The sequence below is a fragment of the Homo sapiens genome, chromosome 6 (genome assembly GCF_000001405.40).
Source record: "Homo sapiens chromosome 6, GRCh38.p14 Primary Assembly".
NCBI lineage: Eukaryota > Metazoa > Chordata > Mammalia > Primates > Hominidae > Homo > Homo sapiens.
The window spans coordinates 101,923,328-101,947,850 of record NC_000006.12 but is presented as its reverse complement, the minus strand read 5'-3'; the positions used below and the strand labels follow the sequence as shown (position 1 = coordinate 101,947,850).

Here is a 24,523-nt window from a genome sequence, read left to right as displayed (position 1 = left end):
ATAAAGTGTCGATGTAGGTGCTCAGGATTATAGTCATTTAACACACCTACTAATGTCTGAAAGATTACTTTCTGAACATGTGTATTGAAATATAACATTTGGGATCATGGTGCGGACCTCTCATGTCTAATTAATGCCTTTGTTATAATAAGAGGCAGGCTTTCAGTATCCAACACATTTTTATCCAAAATTATATGCATGTTTTAACAAAGCAAACAGAAGGAAATAAAACTGACATATTTAAATAAGCAAGTGTTTCTCTTATATCACATTTTCTCAGCTTTACTACAACATAATTATTAATGAGCTGAATGCCATTAGCATGAATCTCTGTACTTATAATGCTCCTTAAAAAATACTTGTTTTATAGGTTAAGAAACTTAGTGGAATGCAGACTGCATACAATTTTTTAAACCAAATTAAAATAATGATATTCCAACATTTAAGTCTGTAAGATTAAAGTTTCTTTGTTATAAACATTTTAAAATGTTTAATTCCTGTTATGATCAAAACAATTCAAAATAAAATAATGATAATATTTCCCTCATTAAAAATTCTCAATACTCTATAATTCACACTAAAAATGAGAATAGGAAGAAGAATCACCCAGTTACATATTGTTAGTATTAAAAATTACTTCAATGTCTCTAAAGGGTGTTGTATCAAGTGATCAAGACAATTTCATTCATTTCAGCTTGATTAAACTTTAGGCATGCTTCTTCTGGACTCTAAGCCCCTGACCTCTCTTTTCTCAGAGCACACCTTTGAAAAATTATAATCGTAAATTATTTCTTTGACTCTTTTGGAATGTAAATCTTTTTAAAAGTTTCTTGCTAATATTACAAGGTAGCAACGTTTTGCTCAAGGTCCTAGGAGCCCTTTTTGAACTGTAATCATCTAGGAAGCTAGTGTCCCTGTGTAACATTCTCTGTGGGAGGGTAGAAATTTAACTTCAGTGGGTACCTTGCTCCAAGTTGTAGAACTATCTCCTGTCATGAAGATATCAAAAAGTTTGTTTTCCATTGGGTAGGACCAACTAGCAAAAATAAATGGTTTACAATACCACTCTGCCTCCATCCCCCTCTCCAACTTTTAAACACCCTCCAGTCCTTTGAGCAGTAGAATTGAGTTCAGACTGAATCCTGGCATCTCCTCTTTACTACAATAATCGCCTTGCCTGTGTTAACTTGTTCTGGTGCAGTCATGGCTTCGATGAAGACACTGTCATATTCCTTTAATTCAATGATTAGATAGTTTGTTACGTATTTACAAATAAGCATTATTCATAATAGCTAATTAAAAATCAAAATGTTTCTTTTCTTATTTTTTTTTTCAACAGCAATCCAAGACTAAGTGCAATGAGGTGAATACGACTCACTGCAACCTTAACCTCCCAGGCTTAAATGATCCTCCCACCTCAGCCTCCTGTGTAGTTGGAACTACAGTCATGTGCCACCACACCCTGGCTAATGTTTTTATTTTTTGTAAAGATGGGGGTTGTTGCCCAGGCTTAGAAAATCTTCTGAAGTTATGTTTATAGCATTGCCCCAATTTCATTACAGATATAGGTATGTGTGTGTATGCACACACATACATATTATATATATCAGAAGATATGTGTGCATGTTTGTGTTCTCATTAATAATTATTGTCTTATTTCCATTTTCTTCACTTTCTAAATTTTTCTTAACATACTAACTTTACTAATCTCAAAACACCTAATGTTATACAAATTATGTTTTGGAAAATTATTCTGTGTATATGTTATATTTTGTAACAATTAGGGTATGTAAAATGGTTTATCCTGGCTTATTTTACTTATATTGATTAATTTACTATATCATAAACATGATTAAAGATTATGATTAATAATCTTATATTGATTAATTTACTTACAAGGATTAATTTGCTATCTCATAAAAATGAAAAAAAAAAAAAAACAGTAGATAGAGAATCTATTATCTACCAGAATGCTCTAGTTACTAAGTCTTTGACCTCATGAAATTCACATTCTAGTCACAAGAAGAATAACATAAATGAAAACAATGAATTTAGAATGTTATCATGGAAGGAACATGTGTTATAAGTAAAAAGTAAAGAGAAAACTCACTTTACAGAGGAGTTATGTTGATTTATTTGTTTGTTTGTGATCCCTTTAAATACTCTTAGGAAAGTGATTGAAATGGAACAACTGATGATGCAGACAAAATAGTAGTAAACTTATAAGCTTACTAAATGGCTTACTGATTAAATTAAGGTGTTGAGCTTACTAAATGGCTTACTGATTACTTAGATTAAGGTGTTGGCGATAGATATGGAGAGCTGTGAATAGCTTTTAGATGCAATGTATTTTGAAGGTACAACCAAAAGTACATGCTCATGGGTTAGATATGAGAGGTGAGCAACAGCATTGATGGCATTGCCCTCTGTTAGAATGGAGAATAATCATGGAATGATGAAACTGGGAACAAATAAAGACTCCATTTTGAATTTACTGGATTTTAAGTGACTATGAGACATTCTCAATATAAAAATTATTAGAGAGATGTTTCACATTATTTTAGTTTTGAAATCCAACGTAAATTTTACACTGAAAACATATCTCAATTCAGACACTAAATTTTCATTTAAGACGCTTAAGTTGTATTGATTGCATAAACCTAAAAAGCTAAAAAAAAATCAGTTAAAATACTAGTTCCATATACCCAAGTTGTTTCAAACAAATTTCCAATAATTGAACTAAGTACTAAAAGCAATTTTCCTGTAATATACACAACATGTTGGTAAAACTTGTTCATCTTTCTTAACTTTTTAAGAATTAATTTGGCTTCAAAGCACATATTCTTGTTCAAAAGTTATGTCTGTTTATCTTTCCAAGTGAAGTAATTTACTAATGCTTACATCAACTAAGAATTATTAACACTGAAGTCAAAGGAAAATTGTATAAACTGAAAATCTCTAAATTTATCAATCTCAAAACAAAGTTTTTAAATTTTACATGTAGTTTTTGAGACTACAAGTTTGCTATAATACTGCTGACAGCAACTAAAATCTGTATATTGACTCTTTAAAAAAATGTGAAAAATCACTTTTATTGACCTTTATTATGATAATTTCCTATTATAATGAATTATTACAGCTTTCTAGATAAAAAATATTTTTTTCTTTTGAAATTCAATTTAGTTTGCTTTTGTTCAGTGTGATATTAGCACAAAAAACATAAAACAAACTATTATTTTTATCTTTGATTATTGAATATCTAGAAATAATTTAATTTCATGCATCTTTGAGTAGGAATAGACAATACAGTAAATCTTTGTATTCTTTGACTCAACCAAAGAGCAATTTGGCAAAAAATTACAAAACCATTAACATTTGTTATCTTCTATTTCTTTCAATAGTTCTACAAACTGGCAATGAGTCATAGCACTTACACATATACACTAAATAATATTAACAACTGTGTCTATGACACTTGTCACAGAGTCTGCTTCAGAAAACTGAACACAAATAATTTCAGTGTCATATAGTAAAGCTAAAAGGATTTATTAGTTCATTTTCACACTTCTATAAAGAACTACCTAAAAATGAGTAATTTGTAAAGAAAAGAGGTTTAATTGAGTCAAAGTTCTACATGGCTAGGGAGAGCTCAGGAAACATATGATCATGATGGAAGGTGAAGGGGAAGCAAGACATGCCTTACATGGTAGCAGGAGAGAGAGAAGGGGTAGGTGCCACACACTTTAAAATTATCAGATCTCATGAGAACTCACTTATGAGACAGCATTGGGAGGACGGTGCTAAACCATTAAAAACCGCCCTCATGAGCCAATCACCTCCTGCCAGGCCCCTCCTTCAAAACATGGGAATTACAACTCTACATGAGATTTGGGTAGGGACACAGAGCCAAACCAATCATTCCACCCTTTCCCCTCCCAAATTGCATGTCCTTCTCACATTTCAAAACGCAATCATGCTTTTCCAACAGTGTCCAGCATTAACCCAAAAGTCCAATCCAAGTTTCATCTGAGACAAGATAAGTATCTTTTGCCTATGAGCCTGTAAAATCAAAAACAAGTTAGTTACTTCCAAGATACAGTGAAGATCTAGGCATTGGGTAAATGCTCCCATTGCAACAGGGAAAAACTGGTCAAGACTAAGGGGCTACAGGCCCCATGGAATTCCAAAATCCAGTAGGGCAGTCATTAAATCTTAAAGTTCCAAAATAACCTTCTTTGACTCCATGTCTCACATACAGGGTATGCTGATGCAAGAGGTGGGCTCCCAAGGCCTGGGCAGCTTTGCTTCTGTGGCTCTTTAGGGTACAGCCTCTGCAGCTGCTTTCACGGGCTAGTGTTGAGTGTCTGTGGCTTTTCCAGGTGCAAGATACAAACTGTTGGTGGATCTGCTATTCTAGAGTCTGGAGGACAGTGGCCCTTCTCTCACATTTCCATTAGGCAGTGCCCCAGTGGAGACTCTGTGTGGGGGCTCCAACCCCACATTTCCCCTCCACACCTACTGCAGGTTTTCCATGAGGGCTTCACCCCTGCAGCAAATTTCTGCCTGGACAGCCAGGTGTTTCCATACGTCCTCTAAAATCTAGGTGAAGATTCCAAACCTCATTCTTGCCTTCTGTGCACCCACAGGCCCAACACCACATGGAAGCTGCCAAGGTTTGGGGCTTGCACTCTCTGAAACAATGGCCTGAGCTGTACCTTGGATCCTTAGAGCCATGGCTGGAGCTGGAGTGGCTGCTACTCAGGGTGCCATGTCCTGAGGCTGCACAGAGCTGCAGAGCTCTGGACCTGGCCCATGAATCCATTTTTTTCCCCTCCTAGGCCTCTAGGCCTGCGAAGGGAGGAGCTGCTACAAAGATCTCTGAAATGCCTTGGAGACATTTTCCTTATTATCTTGGCTATTAACATTCTACTCTTCTTCATTTATGCAAATTTCTGCAGCCAGTTGCTTAAATTCCTCCTCAGAAAATGAATTTTTCTTTTCTACCACATGTTCAAGCTAAAAATTATCCAAACTTTTATGCTTTGCTTCCCTTTCAAACATAAGTTCTAATTTCAGACCATCTCTTTGTGAACATGTATGACTGTATGCTGTTAGTAGAAGCCAGGCCACATCATGAATACTTTGCTGCTTTGAAATTTCTTCCACCAAATATCCTAAATCATCTCTATCAAGCTCAAAGTTCCACAGATCCCTAGAGCAAGAGCACAATGCCACCAGTCTCTTTTCTAAAGCATTACAAGAGTGACCTGTACTCCAGTTCCCAATAAGTTCATCATCTCCGTCTCAGACGACCTCAGCCTGGACTTCACTGTCCATATCACTATCAGCATTTTGGTCAAAACCATTCAACAAGTCTCTAGGAAGTTCCTAACTTTCCCACATATTCCTGTCTTCTTCTGAGCCCTCAGAATTGTTCAAATCTCTTCCCGTTACCTAGTTCCAAAGTTGCTTCCACATGTTCAGGTATCTTTAGAGCAGTCCCCTACTCTCCTGGTACCAATTTCTATATTAGTCTGTTTCACAGTGCTATAAAGAACTACTTGAAAATGGAGATGATGCTAAACGATTAGAAAATGCCCCCATGATTCAGTCATCTCCCATCAGGCCGCTCTTTCAACACATGGGGATTACAATTTGACATGAGATTTGTGTGGGGAAACAGAGCCAAATCACATCAAGGAAAAACATCAGTCTTTTGTTTTAAAATTATAATAAATCTGTGTTTTTTTTTAACCTAACATAGCTAGAGCATCCATCATCGTGACCATCTTGTAATAAACTAAATTTTCTATTTCTAGCTGAAATTAATATTTAATAGCTGTAAGAGATACAAAAAAAACCTATGCCACTAGTTCTTTATTTATTTCAAAAATTGAAATTTTTCTCCTAAATCTGGGAGTCATTTGAGGAAAAAATGTACCCAAAGTATTAATTGGACAGTTTCTCATATTGTATACTTCATTCTAATCTTAAAAAAGGCACTGGTTTGCCATTTTTAAAAATTAGGATCAACTGATTTTTCCTATTGTTAGAAAGCTATTGTAAACTATGGGCAATTTTTTAGTTGATTAATTAAAGATCTTTTGCTTATTTACAATATTTCTTTTAATCTCATTTTTACAACTTTGTAACAAACTAATCATAATTGAAATAACATATGTTACCATCTTTCCATCCAAAAATGGTCTCTTTGTTTAAAAATCCAAGCCATTGTATAACAGTCCAAAAGTGTAACTTCAGACTCTGTCAAAACATATTTTTAAATGTATTGAACATTTGACTCTAACTTTGGTTAACTTCCTTGTTTCTTTTTTTTACTATTAAGAAAAAAAAAATTGCATATCAAATTCAGTTTGTATTTTCTGAGAATGTATGTTGATAATGACCAGTTTAATATCTTAAAAATATATATGTGACAAACAACTTTTCCATTTTGCTTTGTTGCAGCAAATTGCAATGTTCATTCATTGTGAAACCAGTTAACATATCCTTATCCAGACTCTCTTATTCTTTACTCTTCCAGTTGTAGTACCAGTTTCTACATTTTCATTTAATTCTTCTTAATAGTGTAACTTCATTTTAAATTAGAAATTTGCCCATATGTATTTTTAAACTAGAAAAATAATTTAATTATATTTTGATTAAAATAATAGTATGCATTTCAATTTAATAATCATATGGTTTAGATAGTTATAATTGTAATTTATTTCACCTACATAAAATATTCAAATAAACACATTACAATGTTACAGTAGTACATAGAAGAAATCATTTAAACTGAATCAAATCATTGCCACTGAGTACATCACTGATGTGTTGGAAACAACTCATGCACAAATCACATGCTCTATAATACAACATCTTATATGAGGCAAAGGTTAAAATGAAATATATGTTTAAGTTTATTGCAAAAATGTCTTGCACTGCTTTGGTTTTAAAATTTCAATTTAATAAAAATTAAATAATTGAAATTTCATATTTTACTCCTCAGTGCACTAGATGTATTACATGTGCTCTATAACCACACATGTTTTATTAGAAGCCATAAGAAAATAAAAATCTAGTTTATTCCTTAGCCTTACATAGTAAAATTTCTTGGAAGAGTTTTAGAGTACACTACTACTTTTGATACTTTCGAAGTTTGTGGAATTCAAAGAAGGGAAATAAGACAAAATACTAAAGTGTTTCTCTAATGGCTAGTAAAAGTAAATCACTGCAACCTCATTTCCAGGACACAGCAGGGGCAACACATTAGGCCTGAGATTAGGAAAGAAACATCACCCAGAATAAAGATGAGTGAGAAAGGTAGACGTGACAGCTATTACATGGTTACTAACAATGCAGAAAAAATAATAATAATAAATAAAGATGGGAACAGGTTAGCCACTATTTTTATTTTCAAAATGCAATAGATTTACTTGTTTCAGCTGTAAGAGTTTGACTAAAATGATTATGTACACTCTGGCATTGGTAATAAAAATCAATGAAAGGGCCACTTGCAATTGTTAGGCCCCCAGGGAAACAGCAGTCCTGAAAGTAAAGCCTGGAAGACTTGATGCTACTCATAAGCTGCTTCATTAAAACAAAAGCCACAAACAGTGATCTCAAGAATCCTGCCTGCACAAAAATTAGTTCTCAGCCAGCTTCAAAGGCAGACATATTTCTAAATTTGGAAGTGTTATCCTTTTGCTAATACTAGTATATTTGGCTTCTTGTGAAGAACTTTTGCTGTTTATCTGAAAGTTAATTATTTTTTTTCTCACAAACATACATTTGTTTCTAAATTTCCAAGGGGGCTTCTGTCACAATCAACACTTCCTTCAACACAACTCTCATCATAACTATCACCACCAAATTGGGGGCATCCTTTCTGAAACACCTCCCTAATTGTTAAAATTTTCCAGGTAGATCATAAAAAAGGTCGTGTTTAATAAAATTCATTTCACTCAGTCATAACCATCTTGGGTTGTCACCACTTTTCATTCTGACAATATGGAATCCTAAGTCCCTCAGTTTAGTTATATCTATTTGTTGGAGTCAGGCTGGGTTTTTATTTTCTGGTTTTGAAAGAGAAGGCTGACAAAAACTCTTGAAGAATGTGAATTGATATATTTAAAGTCCCACGATGTTGATTTTGCTGTGACCATGGAACTGCACTAAAATAATAAAATCCGTTTTAAAAGATTGACTATCTGTAATGTGTACATGGAAACAGATTCCTGATGTACTTTATCTTTTCAGTGAGATTAGAGAGTAATCCAGAATATTTGTTTATTAATAATCTAAAATCAGGACCAAATTATTAATGAAATGAGAATGCAACTGAGTGTCAGATTGTAGCATTAACCATAGGTAACCTGTATTTGCAAAAGTACGGTATTCATATTGGGGGAAATGGTTTCATCTGCTACCGAAATTTAACAATTCAACATTTAAGCTCCTCACAATAAGGATAATAGCAAATATATATTGGGAATTTAGTACATGTTCAGTGGTAATACGAACAATATATAAGACATATACTCTCGATTTATCTATGGGAGATAAATTCAAAAAAGCAGAAACCCAGAGAAATTAAATAAATCTGTATTGATTGAGGAATGTAGGATTTCACGCCACAACTTGGTCTATGCCTTTAATAATTATGTTAAACTATTATATTGACTCAACAATAAATTATATCCATTAGTAATGCTGTTTCCCAATTCTTTGGCTTTTATTAAATTGTTTTTGTAATAAATTGAAATGAACCATAAGCTCATAGTGTTCTGAAAACAGTCAAGGGACCTACAAAGCAAACTAATATAATGTGTAGCTTCTAATTAGCTGTAATTACAATACTTAATAAATGAAACACCTACCTTTAGAGATAATCAAATCTTTTCACTGAACTCACTTGTGCTATGGTGTATACAATAGGCTAATGACAATCAGAAGCATAATTCAAATACTATCAGGAAATGTAAAAGTACATTTTATCGCCAACCCTGAACTATTCTTTCTCTAAATAGATTTAAGATGGAAACTGGGTATAGAAAAATGAATTATATAACCATCCATAATTTAACTCAAATTAAGAAAGCATACCTTATTCTTACAGAACACACTCTTCATGTACATACACACACAGACACATTCAGTCATCTGGAGAGTTCTTTATTTATAAAATTATTAAAGTACTTCTCTGAATACACATCAATCAAAGTGCTCACCTTTGTGCATTAGGCAATTAAACAATTCTAGGCACTGCCACAGCCACTAATATCACAGCATAAAAACAAAGATTCAAGTTGTTTCAGAATAAGATCTCTTTAAGAATAAGACATTTACCATCAATGTTTGACCAAGTTTAATTTCTTAAAGCAGTATTTTTGAGGAATTTATTATATTCAGTTTGCAGTTATCAACACTTATGAACAAGCACCAAAATTTATTTTGTCCTTTTCCTGATCTATCTGGAGTTAAGGGGAAGAATGTAAAATAAACAGAGATGATTTATAAACTGTGCTTCATCCTTGCAAATATGCATGATAAAGTGGTAAGATTATTGAGCATCAGAAGGGTGCATCACTTGACATCTTGCTTGCTCCCAAGGGGAAAAATAGTACAGTATTATCTTTAAATAAGAGTCTAATATTGAAGATGGCAGTAGCAGCAAATAATAGTAAATCTCCTTTTGCTTCATAAAGAAAGAAAAAAAAAACTTAACTAGTATGTGGTATCTTCAATCAGCTCTTAATAACAAACAACAAAGTGATATTACTGTTTTTAGAATAATGTGGCTTTTGGAAAGAGACAGGAAAACAAATGAACAAATGAAAATTCAGCTGACCAAAGATGCTAATTAGTCTAAAATGCCTTTGCAACAAAAGAATAGCTTCTCCCTGAAAAGACAGCATAATAATGTGGAAAATCAAGACCATTAAACTGCCAAGGATATTTTAAATTAAGTACAAATTTCAGGATATTCACCTTGTAATTAATGGGCTATCTAAGAAATGAGAACAATATGTCTTTGCTGATACTCAAAAGTCAGAGCAGCAACACCCCCCACCCCCAAAACGATCAATAGATATTTCATAGCCACAATGTCAATAAGTATAATTTCCTCAAAACATTAACAAAGTAGAGTCTGGGTTTTTTTGTTTGTATGTTTGTTTTAAAAATACCAAATGATGCTTCTATTCAGCAATTTATATAGAAGAAATGGAATTTGTCATTTTAGTTTTTTTATGTAAGATATAAAGCACTAAAATTTTTAGAATGTCAAGGTATTTTTGGATAATATTTATCTCAGCCTATTTTTTGCATCCAAAATATGTCCTTCTTGAATTTCCTTCAGAATGTTGCCTAACCAGTGGCTATGAACTCTTGCAGTGACAACTATTATCCATTATCCAGCACTTGACATGTTAGCTCAACATCACTGTATTAACTGACTTTTGAGTTTTCTCACTCCCTGTGGGGCCCTCTCTCCTAAGACTGATGAGTTGGGACACAGTGTTTGAGCTGCCAACCTGACTTGACAAACAGCAGGAATGGTCCTTGCACAGAGTAAAGGAGGGAGGACAAGGGAGGGAGAGAACCATAGCATACTAGTGTATGCTGGAGTGGCAGGGCCTCATGCACATGTTTTCCAAGGCAATTAAAACATTGTTTCTCAGATTTTACACTTCAGTCAAGCATACAACTTCTTTATTCAGTTAAAGCGCCCAAAGCTGCGTTAATACATATTGCAAATGTAGCAATTAGAAAAGGATTAAACTTCTGTCCCTTAGATATTTTAGAGAGGCTACTTTCGAAGATAAAAGTTGCTGCTCCTTCCAAGTTTAAATACGCTAAAAACCTAATCACTTCTTATAATTCCTAAAATGGTGTTATTGCTTTCTTTTTAACCATTGAATTCACTCTGGCAGAGCAAGAGTAATAAAACTCATCATATTCTAATTTTCAGACAGCTTGATAAACCCAATGTTCTCACTATAGATAAAGTGTAATGAAGCACTTTCTTTCCCATAGGAAAGTCTTTGACTCATATGCTTTCATGCCAACTAGCCTTCACATCTGCTGTTTCACCATTGATGGCTTTAACTTGGCATGCTGAACTAGTGTCTGATGAAGCAGCTTTACTCAAAGGCACCATTTTATTTCTTGCAATGGGAACATAGTAAAATGGTGTTGGTTTCCTGTAGTCCTTATGCAAATCCCTGTAATAAACATAGGATCAGGCCTCACGTACAATAAATTGTGTGTTAGATGAGGAAAGGGGGAGGGAGACAACCTCTGGGAGTAAAAATAACTTCCTTACTACACAAATAAATCAAAGACATAATAAATAGTCATGTTTTAAATATTTATATCAAACATGACCAATTTATATTAAAACTGTATTAGACACTAATAAAAATATAATGACACTTTAAAATACCAACCTTATTTTATTGAACAAAATACTACCACGTAATCTAATGTTAACATTAGTGAATTTCCCACATTCGATATTTCAACACCATTAATAAAGGAAAAATAATTTGGGAGCGTTAGGAAAATTATATGACTATAAAAATCTTTACTGCGATATTTCTTCCAGACTTCTAGAAAAAAATGTCTGATGGACAATGAAGAACACAGCAACATGAACAAACAAAAATTTCATTAACAATATTAACCATTAACCTAACCTTACTGCCCAGATACATTGGTGATCAACCACATCAAGCTTTTATGTTTTGTTTAACTCATTAAAGCACAAAGAAAAAAAAAAGATTATCTATAAACTTCAATATGTGAGACAAACAAAAAATTAAAAATAAAGTTTCTATGTGTCCTAAACAGCCATAGCTATTTCCTAATCAGTAATTTGTGAGCAAGTTGGCAAGAATAGTTTTTGGCTTAGAAGCCTAAGTATATTAGGTATTTCATCTTCCAAGTCAGAACAGTATGTCATGTTTGAGGAACATTTTGTTTTAGTTTAGATCTGCAAAGGAATATTGAGGGGTTCTCAAGTAACACAAAGCAATATGTAAATTAGAATTGTGTACTAATTTACTTTTGCCAGTTAAAATAGCGCTTTTTTTCACAACAAGGAAAGGAGCAGAAGTAGTTCACTAAATATTATAGGGTAGTAAAATAAGCTCAGGCAAGAAAACTACATGAACACAAATCTCAAAGCTCTTGCTCAGAACCCAATTCAATATAAATCTATAGAGTAGGCCAATTAATACCATGTCCTTAATATCACTTAAAAGTCATCTCTTCTTAATTCAGTCTCCATTAGGTAAACACAAAGTCTCATGTACAATTCTCCCAAGTCTCAAATATGGACCTTTATGCTTTCAATCCCCATGATAGAAAAACCTACGATAAAGGTTTACAAAGAAAAGATGAATGTTCATTCCTCAGGTCCCTGAGAACATGTATTTTCTCAATTTTCACTTAGACATACAAAATAAAATACATCTCTGAGAAACACAAGTGCTCAAAAGGGAAAAGACTCCCTATTCAACTCAAAATAAATAAAAATGACATGAGAAAAAGCTATGTGGCTAGTTAATAGCACCTAAATAAACAAGCCAACTCAAGTGAGTAGCTATTTACACATCCTCCCTATACTTACTGAAGTACCATAAAGAATTTCTAATTGTCATATTGTAAAAGCATTCCTTCTGGATAGTGGTGGAAAATTATTAGAATCCGCGTAATAGTAAACATGTGCAAACTAAAAGACATAACCTGATTTCTAACCATGTGCTGACAAATAATTATTAAACCTTTTCCTACAGACAACTACACTTAACTAGAAATCTTGCTATATAAAATATGAAAAACATTTAAAGAATAAGCTCTAAAACCAAACATATCTAAAATTCAAAAAAGTTCTAGATAATATTTCTCATCTTTAAATATTATTTTTAGGTTAATTTTCTGCATATGCAAAGTGGAACTTTCAAAATATTTTACCACCAATATAGCAAGAGGAAAATAAACATTCATTTCAGAAGACATTTTTCAATGTGAAAAGCACACTATCGTTGCAATTTTGAGAATTTACTCTGCTAATGAGTAAATCTCTTCACAGTAAATATATTATACTTATATTACCACCATTGCTCTAAATAAAAACGGACAACAATTCTGTTTTGCCTATATTTACAAAATTAGGAGCAATCTCTAATGAATAGTATATGTTTTTAGATCTAATAAGGACTTGCAGTAAACTACCAACTTTTTACATTTTATCTCTCAATGGAAAAGTTACTTACATTCTTGTAGTATACTGAAAGCAAAATCACTCAAGCTCTCAAAAAAATTATTGCAGGCATGCCACACTAGCAATTCAGACTTCAAAACATATACTATCACCCCACCATATACTATCATATACAATCACCCCAGCATAACTTAATTTTAGAAGACTATTGAGCTGGTAAGATCAGAATAAGTGGCAGACTATAAAGAACATGTTATAGCTGTATCTGCCCCAATGCTGTAAGGCAAATGTTTTAGAAACTTAATATAATCAAGCAGTTGAGGTCATGTGGGTGAGCCAAAATGATCAATACACTTAGCTCTTTTGAGTAACGATGGTTTATGTGACGATATCTTTGGTTATTACCTTTATTGTGATACTATGCATTCCTTGGTTATAGCCGTTATAATTAATAAGTCACTTAACCTCTTTGTGGCCCAGTTTCCTCATCTGTTAAATGAGCATAATGATAATTGCTTCCTACCTTCCTTAGAAGTTGTCTGAAGATAAATGAGCTGGAATTTAGAATGTACTTTGCAGAGGAAGGCTGTAAAAGTTAAAGGAAAAAAAAAGAAAGGGAGAGAGAGACAGAGAAAACAAGAAAGAAAGAGAAAAATCTCCCAAGAAAAATCCTCTTTTGCTCAGTACCAAAAATTAAAACGTTCTACCTAGGATGGAATAACCCACTTGCTTTTCATTCCTAACTTCATTACCTACACTTCAAAATCAATGACTTTTAACAGATAATTAAAATAGGAAAGCTATAGAGGGCTCTATGTTTTGAATAAACCTTTGACTGCCCTGTAGAATAATAAAATTTTGCACATAATCACGTTATACCTGAAAGCCTCTGTCATATGTTTTCCATCAGTAAATGTAAAATTCATTGTGCCAATGGATAACTGTGTGGAATTTGACAAAAGTAACAAGGTGCTGCAATAAAGAAAAGCTGTGGCATTGATTTAGGGCACACATAGCAGATAATAATCAAATCATCATTTGGGGAGGCTGGGAAAATAGGAATCCATGAATACAGGGGAAAATATTATTTTTAATTACACGTTGTAGTTGTAGTGACTTGAAAGATAGAAAATGAACTAATAATCTTTTGGATTTAGCCAAAAGATAGCCAAACAAAATGACAAAATGTTCAAAGTATCAGCTGGCTAGTTTTAGCTACATGTAAGGTAGGACAAGAAAGAGATAGACGAGTAATCAGTACAACAGCAAGGAGATGGAGAAGGAAAAAGAGGAGGAAGAGGAGGAGAGGAAAAGAAAATTTAAAAGTACTGACCACTTTGCAAGCTGAATTTAGAGGTGATGTAGAGGGGATAAAACTTGCATGGTTGGATAACAAACGTATTTCTAATCTTCTGCCAGCGAAAGTTCTTAAAATTTTCTCAACGTGGCCACAAGGCTTAATTAAGAATCAAATTAAGCGTGATGCCTTAGATGCTTTCTTAGAACCTCTAAAAAAGTCAAGGCAATACCTTGTAGATTTTCTCATTTGGATAAAGATCCTCTAGCCCAAAGTAGCAACGATTCAGTCTGAAGAGAGGCATGCCTTTAAAAGAACGGCGTGTGTGGCTTTTACAGTATAAGTAGATTCAGTTAGACACATTTAAAGGTTAAGAAGAAATTGTACTGGTAAAAGCACTGTCACCCTGGTGTAGAAGGAACTGAGTCTGTAAATGTAGAAACTTGGGCTCTCAAGTTTCTGTGAGAAGGACAGCTGACTTGGAAGATAAATAAAGGTTTATGTTACATGTCACTAAGTTTTTGGCTGTTTGTTAAGCAATATTCTGGTGGCAATTAATAATTAACACAAGCTCAAGACATGTAAGTTCAGTGCCAAGAACTAGAGATACAAAAATGAATGATATAGATTCATTCAATCCCTATTCTCCTGCTGTGCAGTAGAGTATGGAAACATACAGGAACCAAGAAAACATATCTTGGATTAGTAATTTAACAATAATGTAAGTTTAAAAAAAAAAAACTTCAAAGAATGTAAAAGAGGAGCACTGTACCCAGACTGGGTAGATTTTGGTATGAAAAGGGTCAGGAGAGTTTCCCTGGAATAAGTGATGTATAGATTAGAATCTAAGGAATAAAGAGAATATAACCAATTAGGTTGGTAGAGGTGGATGGGGATGAAAAAAGAGCATAATGGGCATTAGAGAAAGAGATGTAAAGGTATAGAATGCAACACAGGACTAGGAATACATCAATTTGGATGGAGCTTACATTTTTAAAATATGTGCCAACATTTTGTTTAATGACCATACAAAAGAGCACATGTTTCTTCCTTTGATACTATATCTTTTAGATGGACATATGTATTAGTGCACATAATAAAGTCAGAGATTTCAGGTAGGCCAAATCCAGACAAATAATTTCTAAAAACTGGAAAACTTGAGTCATGGATTTCATAGAAACAAGGGCACTCGGTATCATTTTGTAAAACATGTGACTCACTTCAAAAATACAAGCATTCTCAAAAAAAGCCATAACACCTACAGGCTATAGCTGAGTGATTTTTGATCCTATAATGTATAGGCTTCCATTCTCCTAGCCTTTATACTTCAGGGAGAAAAGAATGTTCCTGTTGCTTGGTAACATGTTGCATAATGGTTAGCCCGGGGGTGAAACTTCAGTTCTAGTACACTAAATTCCCAGATTCCAAGTAGGTTTTGACTCCTCCTTTAATGTTTCTTAATAAAATTCTTGGACTGTCATCCATTTTACTATCTAAATATGATTAAGAACATATTGGTGATACCATGCAGTTTTCTATTGCTTACATGAAAATAATGTGAGAACCACTATCTCCTATTTTGAATTATTTTTTCCAGTCATGGCTTTACATTTATCTCTGAGGAGAGTCTGTGTGGTGTGTAATGGATATAGAAAAAAGAAGGAAGAATTTTTCTTGAAGATAATATGCTTTGAGCACCTTGAGCTCAGTGAACAAAATCAATCATGGTCTTTGGAAATGGAATTATTCGATGTTGAAGAACAGCTATGTAACTCTGCTATGTCTTTGCAATGCTGAGGATTTACACCCTTTAACACCAGATATCTGGAGCCAGCTCTTCTTGCTAGTAGTAACAAAACTGTATCGTTTTTTATAATAATTTTCTGGAAGGAAGTATTCCAGAACAATTAGTTAACAGCAAGGTCTTGCTAAATTAGTAAAAACAAGATAGAGATTCCTTTAGAAGTCAATGTCTTAGGGATGCTTCCTAGAGTGTTTGTATGTGTGGCTGTTAAATGAAAAATGAAAGAATTGTATAAAATGTAAATACACTACAAAATAGTCTCTGGTTCACTGTACAGTTTCAAAATGAGTAGGTAGTTTTTGAATTCCAGACTGCTAGAATTTTTTTTAAATTTCTTACCATAGCTGGAATAACTATACACTTAAAAAGTGAAAACATGAAATTGAAATTGGAATCTTTTAAGGCTACATTAAAATACCAAAAATATCAACATTTAATGTAGTCTTGTGAGTTCTAATTTTCTTTTCCTAGTTTCAGTAGGAAAATAGAACTCAGCATGTGATAATATTAGCAACATAAGGTAGTTGTCAACTTAGTAATTATCACTGTGTGGTTTTTATTGTGACTTGTGTACATTCCAAATACAATTCTAAAGAAATAATATATGTGCTGTTGGAAATAGAAAGCTGTGTCGTGTCGACTTTCTCAAGGTGCTAGAGGCACTCGTGTTTGAGAGAAAAACAAGAGATAAAAAAGAGTAAGAAGAAAAGTCAGTAGCAAGGAAAAGTGAAAGTAGGCAAAAATTGCATAGCAGAAAGCAATTGAACTATTAAAAAAAGAACGAAAGAATGAAAAGACAAAGAATTAAGAAAATAAGCTTAAAAATAAAAATTTTATAAAGAAAAAATACATATGTTTGGTAACTGATTTTTCAAAAATGAACTTTGCTACTAGTATATTTGAACTTTAAAACAAAATATTTGAGTCTTCTGGAAAAAATAAAATTAAAACGGAAATGTTTATGAACCAGAAATAAACACTTCTGGTGTCAAATTTTTGTGTTAGGTACAATAGGTTGTATTATTATATTTTACAAATTCAATTCAAAAGTCACTTGGATATTGGAATAAATTAAATGCATCACGCATTCACTTCCTTCAAGTTGTTGACACTAACAACGCACGTTTAGCAATTTCAGCGACTTATTTATTTTATTTTATTTTATTTTTTTTTTTTGAGACAGGATTGCACTCCAGTTGCCCAAGCTGGAGTGCTATGTCGCCATCTTAGCTCACTACAACCTCTGCCTCCCCGGCTCAAGTGATTCTCCAGCCTCAGCCTCCCAAGTAGCTGGGAATACAGGTGCATGCCACCACACCACACTAATTTTTGGGCTGTTTGTAGAGACAGAATTTTGCCATGTTATGGAGGCTGGTCTCAACCTCCTGGGATCAAGTGATCCACCCACCTTGGCCTCCCAGAGTGCTGAGATTACAGGCACGAGCCAACGTGCCTGGCCTAGCAGCTTATTTCTTTATAAAAACACAAAAATATTAACACGTTTGATAAGAAAGGAAATCTTATAAATTCTCAATATTCAATTAAGAAAAACTGATCCATCGCAATTAATATAGTCAAATAGGACCATACTGAACGTATTGTTTTGCTTATATTTGATTATTCAATAAATTTGATTAAATAACAGTGATTTTCCAAGTAAATGTGAAATCCATATCCAATACTTAATCTAGTCATATGAGAAATTCACTTTGAAAATAATTAAATTTTAAATATTTGACTAAATCTAATTTATCTTATTTTTGGGGGAATTGGATGTCCTCCAGAAATTTATTTTAAAGTTAATTTTATAAAAATTTTTACAAAGTTGCATAATTTGACAAAATACTGACTTAAGTCACATAAAACCAAATTCAGTGATGTTTTAAGTTTATTATTCTGTCTCCAACTAAACCATAATCTCCTCGATAGTGAGAATTAGAATACTCAATGTGTCGTGTAACTTCTGGCACTCGATAGAAACCTGATGAATGCTTCATGAAATAATTTATTTTATAGCTTGAATTAATCATTTTTTTAAAAAAAAATACTATTTCCACTGTACATTTGAACTGCCAGTTGTGTTTCTGTGAACACAGAAAGAAAATATCAATGTTTTAAAATTTGCCCAACCTACAAAAACTGTAAAAATACTTGGTAAGATACAAAAGGAATTATAAAGTGGTAATAGCTACCTAAAGTGAAATCCCTCAACTGGTCTACTTTGGCCCAGTGAGTAGGCAAGAGTAAGGAGAAGAGAGAAAAAATAGACGAGGGCAAGGCACTCTATATGACAGAAACTTTTTACAAGCACACTTTCATTTAAATGTTCCACAGGGCTGTCTCTCTGGAAACCACTGTGAGTTCAATGGGACAGCCCCTTTCAACTCTGTGTCTCCCAGACTATTACCTTGGTGAACGTATAGATAATAAGGACTGTCTCTGTATTTTCAGCCCTTAAATCTTGCCTCATTTCAACAAAAGTAAATGTACGTATGGGAAACATTTTTCCGAGTAATTATTCTATTCTTCTGGAATAGCAAAGTTTTGTAGAATCTGAACATCCTACTATTACAGTTTCAAAAAATACATTTTGTTTTATTCAAAAAGAAAAGCTTACTGGGAAAAAATGTTACCCTTGGGCTGATTTTCCTCAAAACAGGAACAAAATATTGTAAAGCAAAACCTCCTTAGCATTTTCAGAGATTAAAATGATTGGTCTTGATGAGCATACGTTCAGTTGTACACCTCTCCACCCCTTGAGGTATATGCTATTATTAAGAATTGTGCACAAATAATGGCGTTGTTACACTCTTACATTTGTGAATCGAGAGAAGTTTGCGCTCTATCATTTTAATTTGTAAATTTTAGGTAACCAGCAGAACTTACCTTGAAAAAAGTCATGGTTGCACCATCCTCTACTGCTCCATATTCTATCTTGGTTTGTTTAGCTAAATCATCAGCAGAGTCAATAGGGGATTCCATGCGTTCCACTGTCAGAAAGGCGGCTAAGTTAGCAGTATACGAAGAAATGATGATAAGTGTGAAAAACCACCAAATGCCTCCCACTATCCTGGTGGACAGTGCTTTGGGCATGAGCTCAGAACCTAACAGAGAGTGGGGGAAAGGTGAAACGAATATAGAGAATTTGATCAGCAATCAGATACTTTTTGTCACAGTGGCAGAATGGAATCACTGTGTAATAAAAGCTTAAATCAAAGATTTACATATTTCTTTAGTAAGCAAGCAACAACCATTGGGAAAGCAGAGGCTATTTTCAGAAAATAGACAATCTTTTAGGACATTCTTGTTTAAATATAGTGACAGGAGACTCATGTTCTACCTGAGATGATGCAAAGTTCCAATTAAAATATTAATGAGTAAACATTTTTAATAAAAATAGCATTAGAAGAGATTTTTTAGGCTTTCTGGTTTATAAACCACATTTATTGTTTTTTCATATTTTGTTAGTTATGAGGGTTTCAGAGGAAGTGCTTAAATATACTTTTGGATCCCTTTCTTAAGCTTTTTGTAAATTTCACTTTTCATGTGCATGTAGCTCAAACATTTTGTCTATCTTGTTATTTTTAAAAGTTACGTATAATAATAAAATAACTACTATTGCCCACATTTCTTGAAATGATGTGGGGTTTTAGTGTAATGTTTATTTTAAAATAAGATAATAAATTATGTTCTCCTGTATAAGCAAGGATCTCCCATCACTATGGTTAGCATCAATTAAAAAAATTAGAATAAGAATATATAGCTAAATTGTCACATTTATTTTTATACATATATAAATCTTTTATAACTATATCAGAATGTACGGCTGGAGTTGCCTGCTCATGATCTTAATAAAAGAATGGGATCTGAGAATTATATTTTACTTTTGACTATTATTAATTTTAATTCATTTAGACTATAAAACAAAATCCTACCAATTTAAAATTTGGTCTGTTATTTAAATTTTAATTACAGCTTACCACATTGTTTATATTCTTAATGCTTAAATAAACATATATCAGTATGTGTGATTTTTTTATAAGTAAGGTATACTAAATTTGTAGATATGCATATATTACTGTTCACTTTTAATCATTTTGAATCTATCAAGAAAGCATAGACTAAAAGTACTTAATTTTATTTGTGTTTGAGTAAAATGGAATGAAGCAAAGACGGACTTACAGTCATATCTTTAGTATAATCTCTGATGCAGTAAGGTAACACATCTTTAGATGGAATAAAAAATAAAACAAATTATTCATGTGAAGCTTGAAAAATAAGTGGTATTATGACTGCACTATATCAAAACAGCCCATCTTATACTGCAGTTCATCTTACCATTGCAATTTCAAACAAACAAACAAAATTTTAAAAGCAGACAAACTTGGACATGACAGCCAACTCCAGCTCCAGATTCTGCCTACAGCTCTGTAAGGAAAAAAAAACAGAAAAGTACCTTTCTGATGTAGTTGCTCCTAGGCCCTGTCAGACACACACTCGGACACTGAAACACTAAATACTCCCAAGATGATGAGCAGCATTGGCTGCCTATTTTGCTTTTTTTGTGTTTTGTTTTGTTTTGTTTAAACAACAACACCAATAAAGTCAAACAAGACTGGGAAAGAAAAGAATAGTGGAGACATTTGACATAAATGGCCCAATTACCACAAGTTCATATCTTACCCAAGGACTTAAAGCGAGTACCTCCTAGTCTTGTGAATCAGAGCCTGGTTAGGGGCTGACTGTCATGTACTCAAGGTAACGTCATGTCCAGCACTATATCCCACTAATTCCTGGGAAGCTGGGCATCAGCCAGAATAGTATGGGTTCCTCTTTCATGTATCCACCAGCAGTGACGTAGTTATGTGGCGAAGCAAATGTATATTTGAATTTTTCATTGCTTGAATTGCTTGTCATTATCTTCAGAGATAATAACATAGAGTTTTACCTCTAATTCCTAAATACTACTAATAGCAAGTTTGTCCTATGAGCATACAAATTCTCAAAGACCTCCAAATATTTTTTTAAAATATAAGTAGAAAAAAAGAATGTTTTCTTTGTCAAAGAGATATGAAACTTTTAAAACGAAAGTCTTGCTATGGTCAGATGTTTATTATGAGGATAACTCCCTCCAGACTACTAATTATTAACAGACGACTAGCAGTTTTGCCTGGGTGACTTGTATTACTCAACACTACTTATAAAATAACCTTGTGCCATATGACGGGCTTTTTCATTCACTTCTGTTATTTTGAAAGAACTACAATAATGTCTTCTAAGGGTAGAGTAAGCCTAAGGGAAAAAAAAAAAAAAAAAAAAAAAACCCTTGGACCCAAAATGTAAGAAAATGTAGGAAAGGAAAAATATAACTACTGATTCTTCATTTGAGTTATTTAGAAAGAGATGCCACAAACTTAGGTTAGCTCATGTAAAAGTTTTCTGGATTTTCAAGTTTTAGGTTTAAATATTCATAAACTATATATAAAAATATAGTTTACATATATATTAATAATTATACAATAAACATTTCAATTTAGTAGGCCATGCTTACAATATGTATTAAAGATTATTTATTGGTAAATTAAACTTTTTCTTTTGACATGTAGTTATGTATTTTCACTTTAGGAAATAGTTTATAAATGAAACAGTAATGAATTAATGCATTTCTGCATAAAATTAAACATGCAATAGCACGATGCCTTTTTTAGAAACAACATTTTATAACAACATAAATTTCCACTTCTTCAGATCTGTAATGCAATCACTAAATGAATTTCTTCAAAGTGGATATTAAATACACAACAAAAACTTAAAATCAAACCTTATGATAGGTATGATAACTCTTATGAAGAAATATGTTTTTTTTTCTTCCTTTACTGTCAGTTTTTCAAATTTGGGATTTTTTTGCTTTATTTACTAATTTTAAAACTTTAAAATGTTACATTTTAAATTGGCAAAACTAGTCTTAGACCTTGACTAATAAAATATTTTATTTTGAGTAATAGGTCTAGCATAGCAATTTGTTAAACTTTATTTAAATGTGAAAAGATTAATAAAAGAAACCATAGCATCAAATATTAAAATTCTGCTTGAAAAAAACTGAGACTAAAATAGTAGATTCATAGTTACATATAAACCATTAAGACGTATTAGTACATGTATTATCTCATTTTCTAAGATATAGCCTTAATTTTAACATGTATATTATAAAGTTTAAATAATTACGAAAAAGTATTTTTGCATGCACTTCCGAGCATGCAATATTTTATATTCTTATATGCTATCAAATGCAGCTAATATTTTACTCAAAAAGTTCATGTTTTAATATTTTAACTCTTCAAATTTATAGGCAGTAAATTTACTAATCATGCAATACAAATGCATCTAATCACCAAGAATTAATATGAAAGAGAAGATTTTACATCAAAATGAGACAAGAAACAGGAGCATAACACTGTATTCTTGTCTCAAGGAGATGTAATCTTTGTAGTAGTTTAAATGCAGCTTCTGGCTAATGATCAGGTTAGCTTGGTTATCTATGAAATAATGTATCTACTGTAGGTTAAGGAAAAAAATAGATGAGTATACTCTATGTGGATTTGCAAAAGCTAATTATTTTCTCAGAATCTCTCTTGAATGGGATTTGAGAAGGCCTAAATGCATTAGGTCGATGGAAAAGCTGGATTATGGTTACATGCACAGAGGCACCCATGCAAGCGACTTGTGCCAGCAAGAGCTGTCACCCCCAGCAAAGAGTGGGACATGGTGCCCAAAGGAAATAGCAGGCTGAATCGTATACCTTGCTGCATGAGAGCTCCAACTCCAAACCAGAAACTATTTAGCAAGGTAAAATTGTTTTCCACCACGTCTGAGTCAGGGTTGCAAGGGTGTGGATTATACCACTCATAAGGACTAAACCTGTGGTAATTGACAGAAAAAAGAATACATTTAAATTGCAGTGGGAAGAAATTCTATCCAGCATTTTTTGCTGCAAAAGAAACAAAAAGACAGATAAGTTTAAGTAGAAAGCAGAAACAGACATTTTTACAAGATTTCATATACGTGCCTGCAAGTGTTCGATTTTAAAGATCCCTGTCCTTATCAGCTAATTTCCACAGTAAGAAATTGCATTTTCTTACTATACATTATTTGTTAGAGGAAAATCTGTATATCAGTAAACCAATAACATTTTTTAAGACTTAGGCATTGTATGTACAGGATTTATAAAAATTTGAAAGCTAGAAAGTCATTAAAGTAGAAAACAAACTTAGTTGTGAAACATTTTTTAAAGACCGTAGAGTATTTTAAAGACAGAAAAAAATATAAAATCATCATAAGAATTTTGCATGCTATAATAGAAACCACCAAAGTAACAGAGATTAAAATAATCAATGCAGAATTATGTATCTAACAAAATGATTCTATGAATTTACATATTTATGTGTAAAATCTCAACTCTAAAGAAACAAAAAAATAAGAATCTACTGCATTCTAATACACGCTTCTGACATTATTATAGGTTTCAGAGAACATGCCAATCAGCATGATATCAAAGTATCAAAGCGTTGTGGTTTTTTTTTTTTTTTTTTTTTTGGAGACAGAATCTCCCTTTGTCCCCCAGGCTGGAGTGAGTGCAGCGGCACAATCTCGGCTCACTGCAACCTCCGCCTCCTGGGTTCAAGCGATTCTCCTGCCTCAGCCTCCGGAGTAGCTGTGACTACAGGTGCATGCCACCACACCCAGCTAATTTTTTGCATTTTAATAGAGACAGGGTTTCACTGTGTTGCCCAGGCTGGTCTCAAACTCCTGAGCTCAGACAATCCGCCTGCCTGGGCCTCCCAAAGTGCTAGGATTACAGGCGTGAGCCACCGCGCCGAGCCATCAAAGCAGTTTTAGAAGCAGGAATTCATACTGAGGCTCACTGTTTTCCATTTATTATTTTGTTTCAAATCTATAACTTATCTGAACCACTATTTTAAGATTTAAAAAATCAAATCTAATTTTTAAGGCCAGTTGTAGATGACTTTAGAAATCTTAACATCTCTAATGTAGTTCAAACTGAGGACTTATTAAGGTGCAAATAATTTATGCTAATTATAATCCAGATATATTTATCAATTAATGGAATTATCCATAAACATTACACCCACAATTAAATATGCTTTGTCTAATTATTGAACTAAAAAAATAT

The 24,523-nt window shown here is 33.0% G+C and overlaps 1 protein-coding gene across 7 annotated transcripts in view; it reads right to left on the bottom strand.

The window, feature by feature from the left end:
- Window positions 1–24,523, bottom strand: part of GRIK2 (glutamate ionotropic receptor kainate type subunit 2) — a 676,376-nt gene that overhangs the window by 122,233 nt on the left and 529,620 nt on the right. For all 7 annotated transcript variants that reach the window (XM_047418681.1, NM_021956.5, XM_047418682.1 and 4 more), the window contains 2 exons: window positions 23,132–23,250; window positions 19,219–19,436 (listed from right to left, as the gene is read on the bottom strand). In XM_047418681.1, coding sequence (XP_047274637.1) covers window positions 19,219–19,436; window positions 23,132–23,250 — 337 coding nt within the window. The remainder of the gene's footprint in view (window positions 1–19,218; window positions 19,437–23,131; window positions 23,251–24,523) is intronic.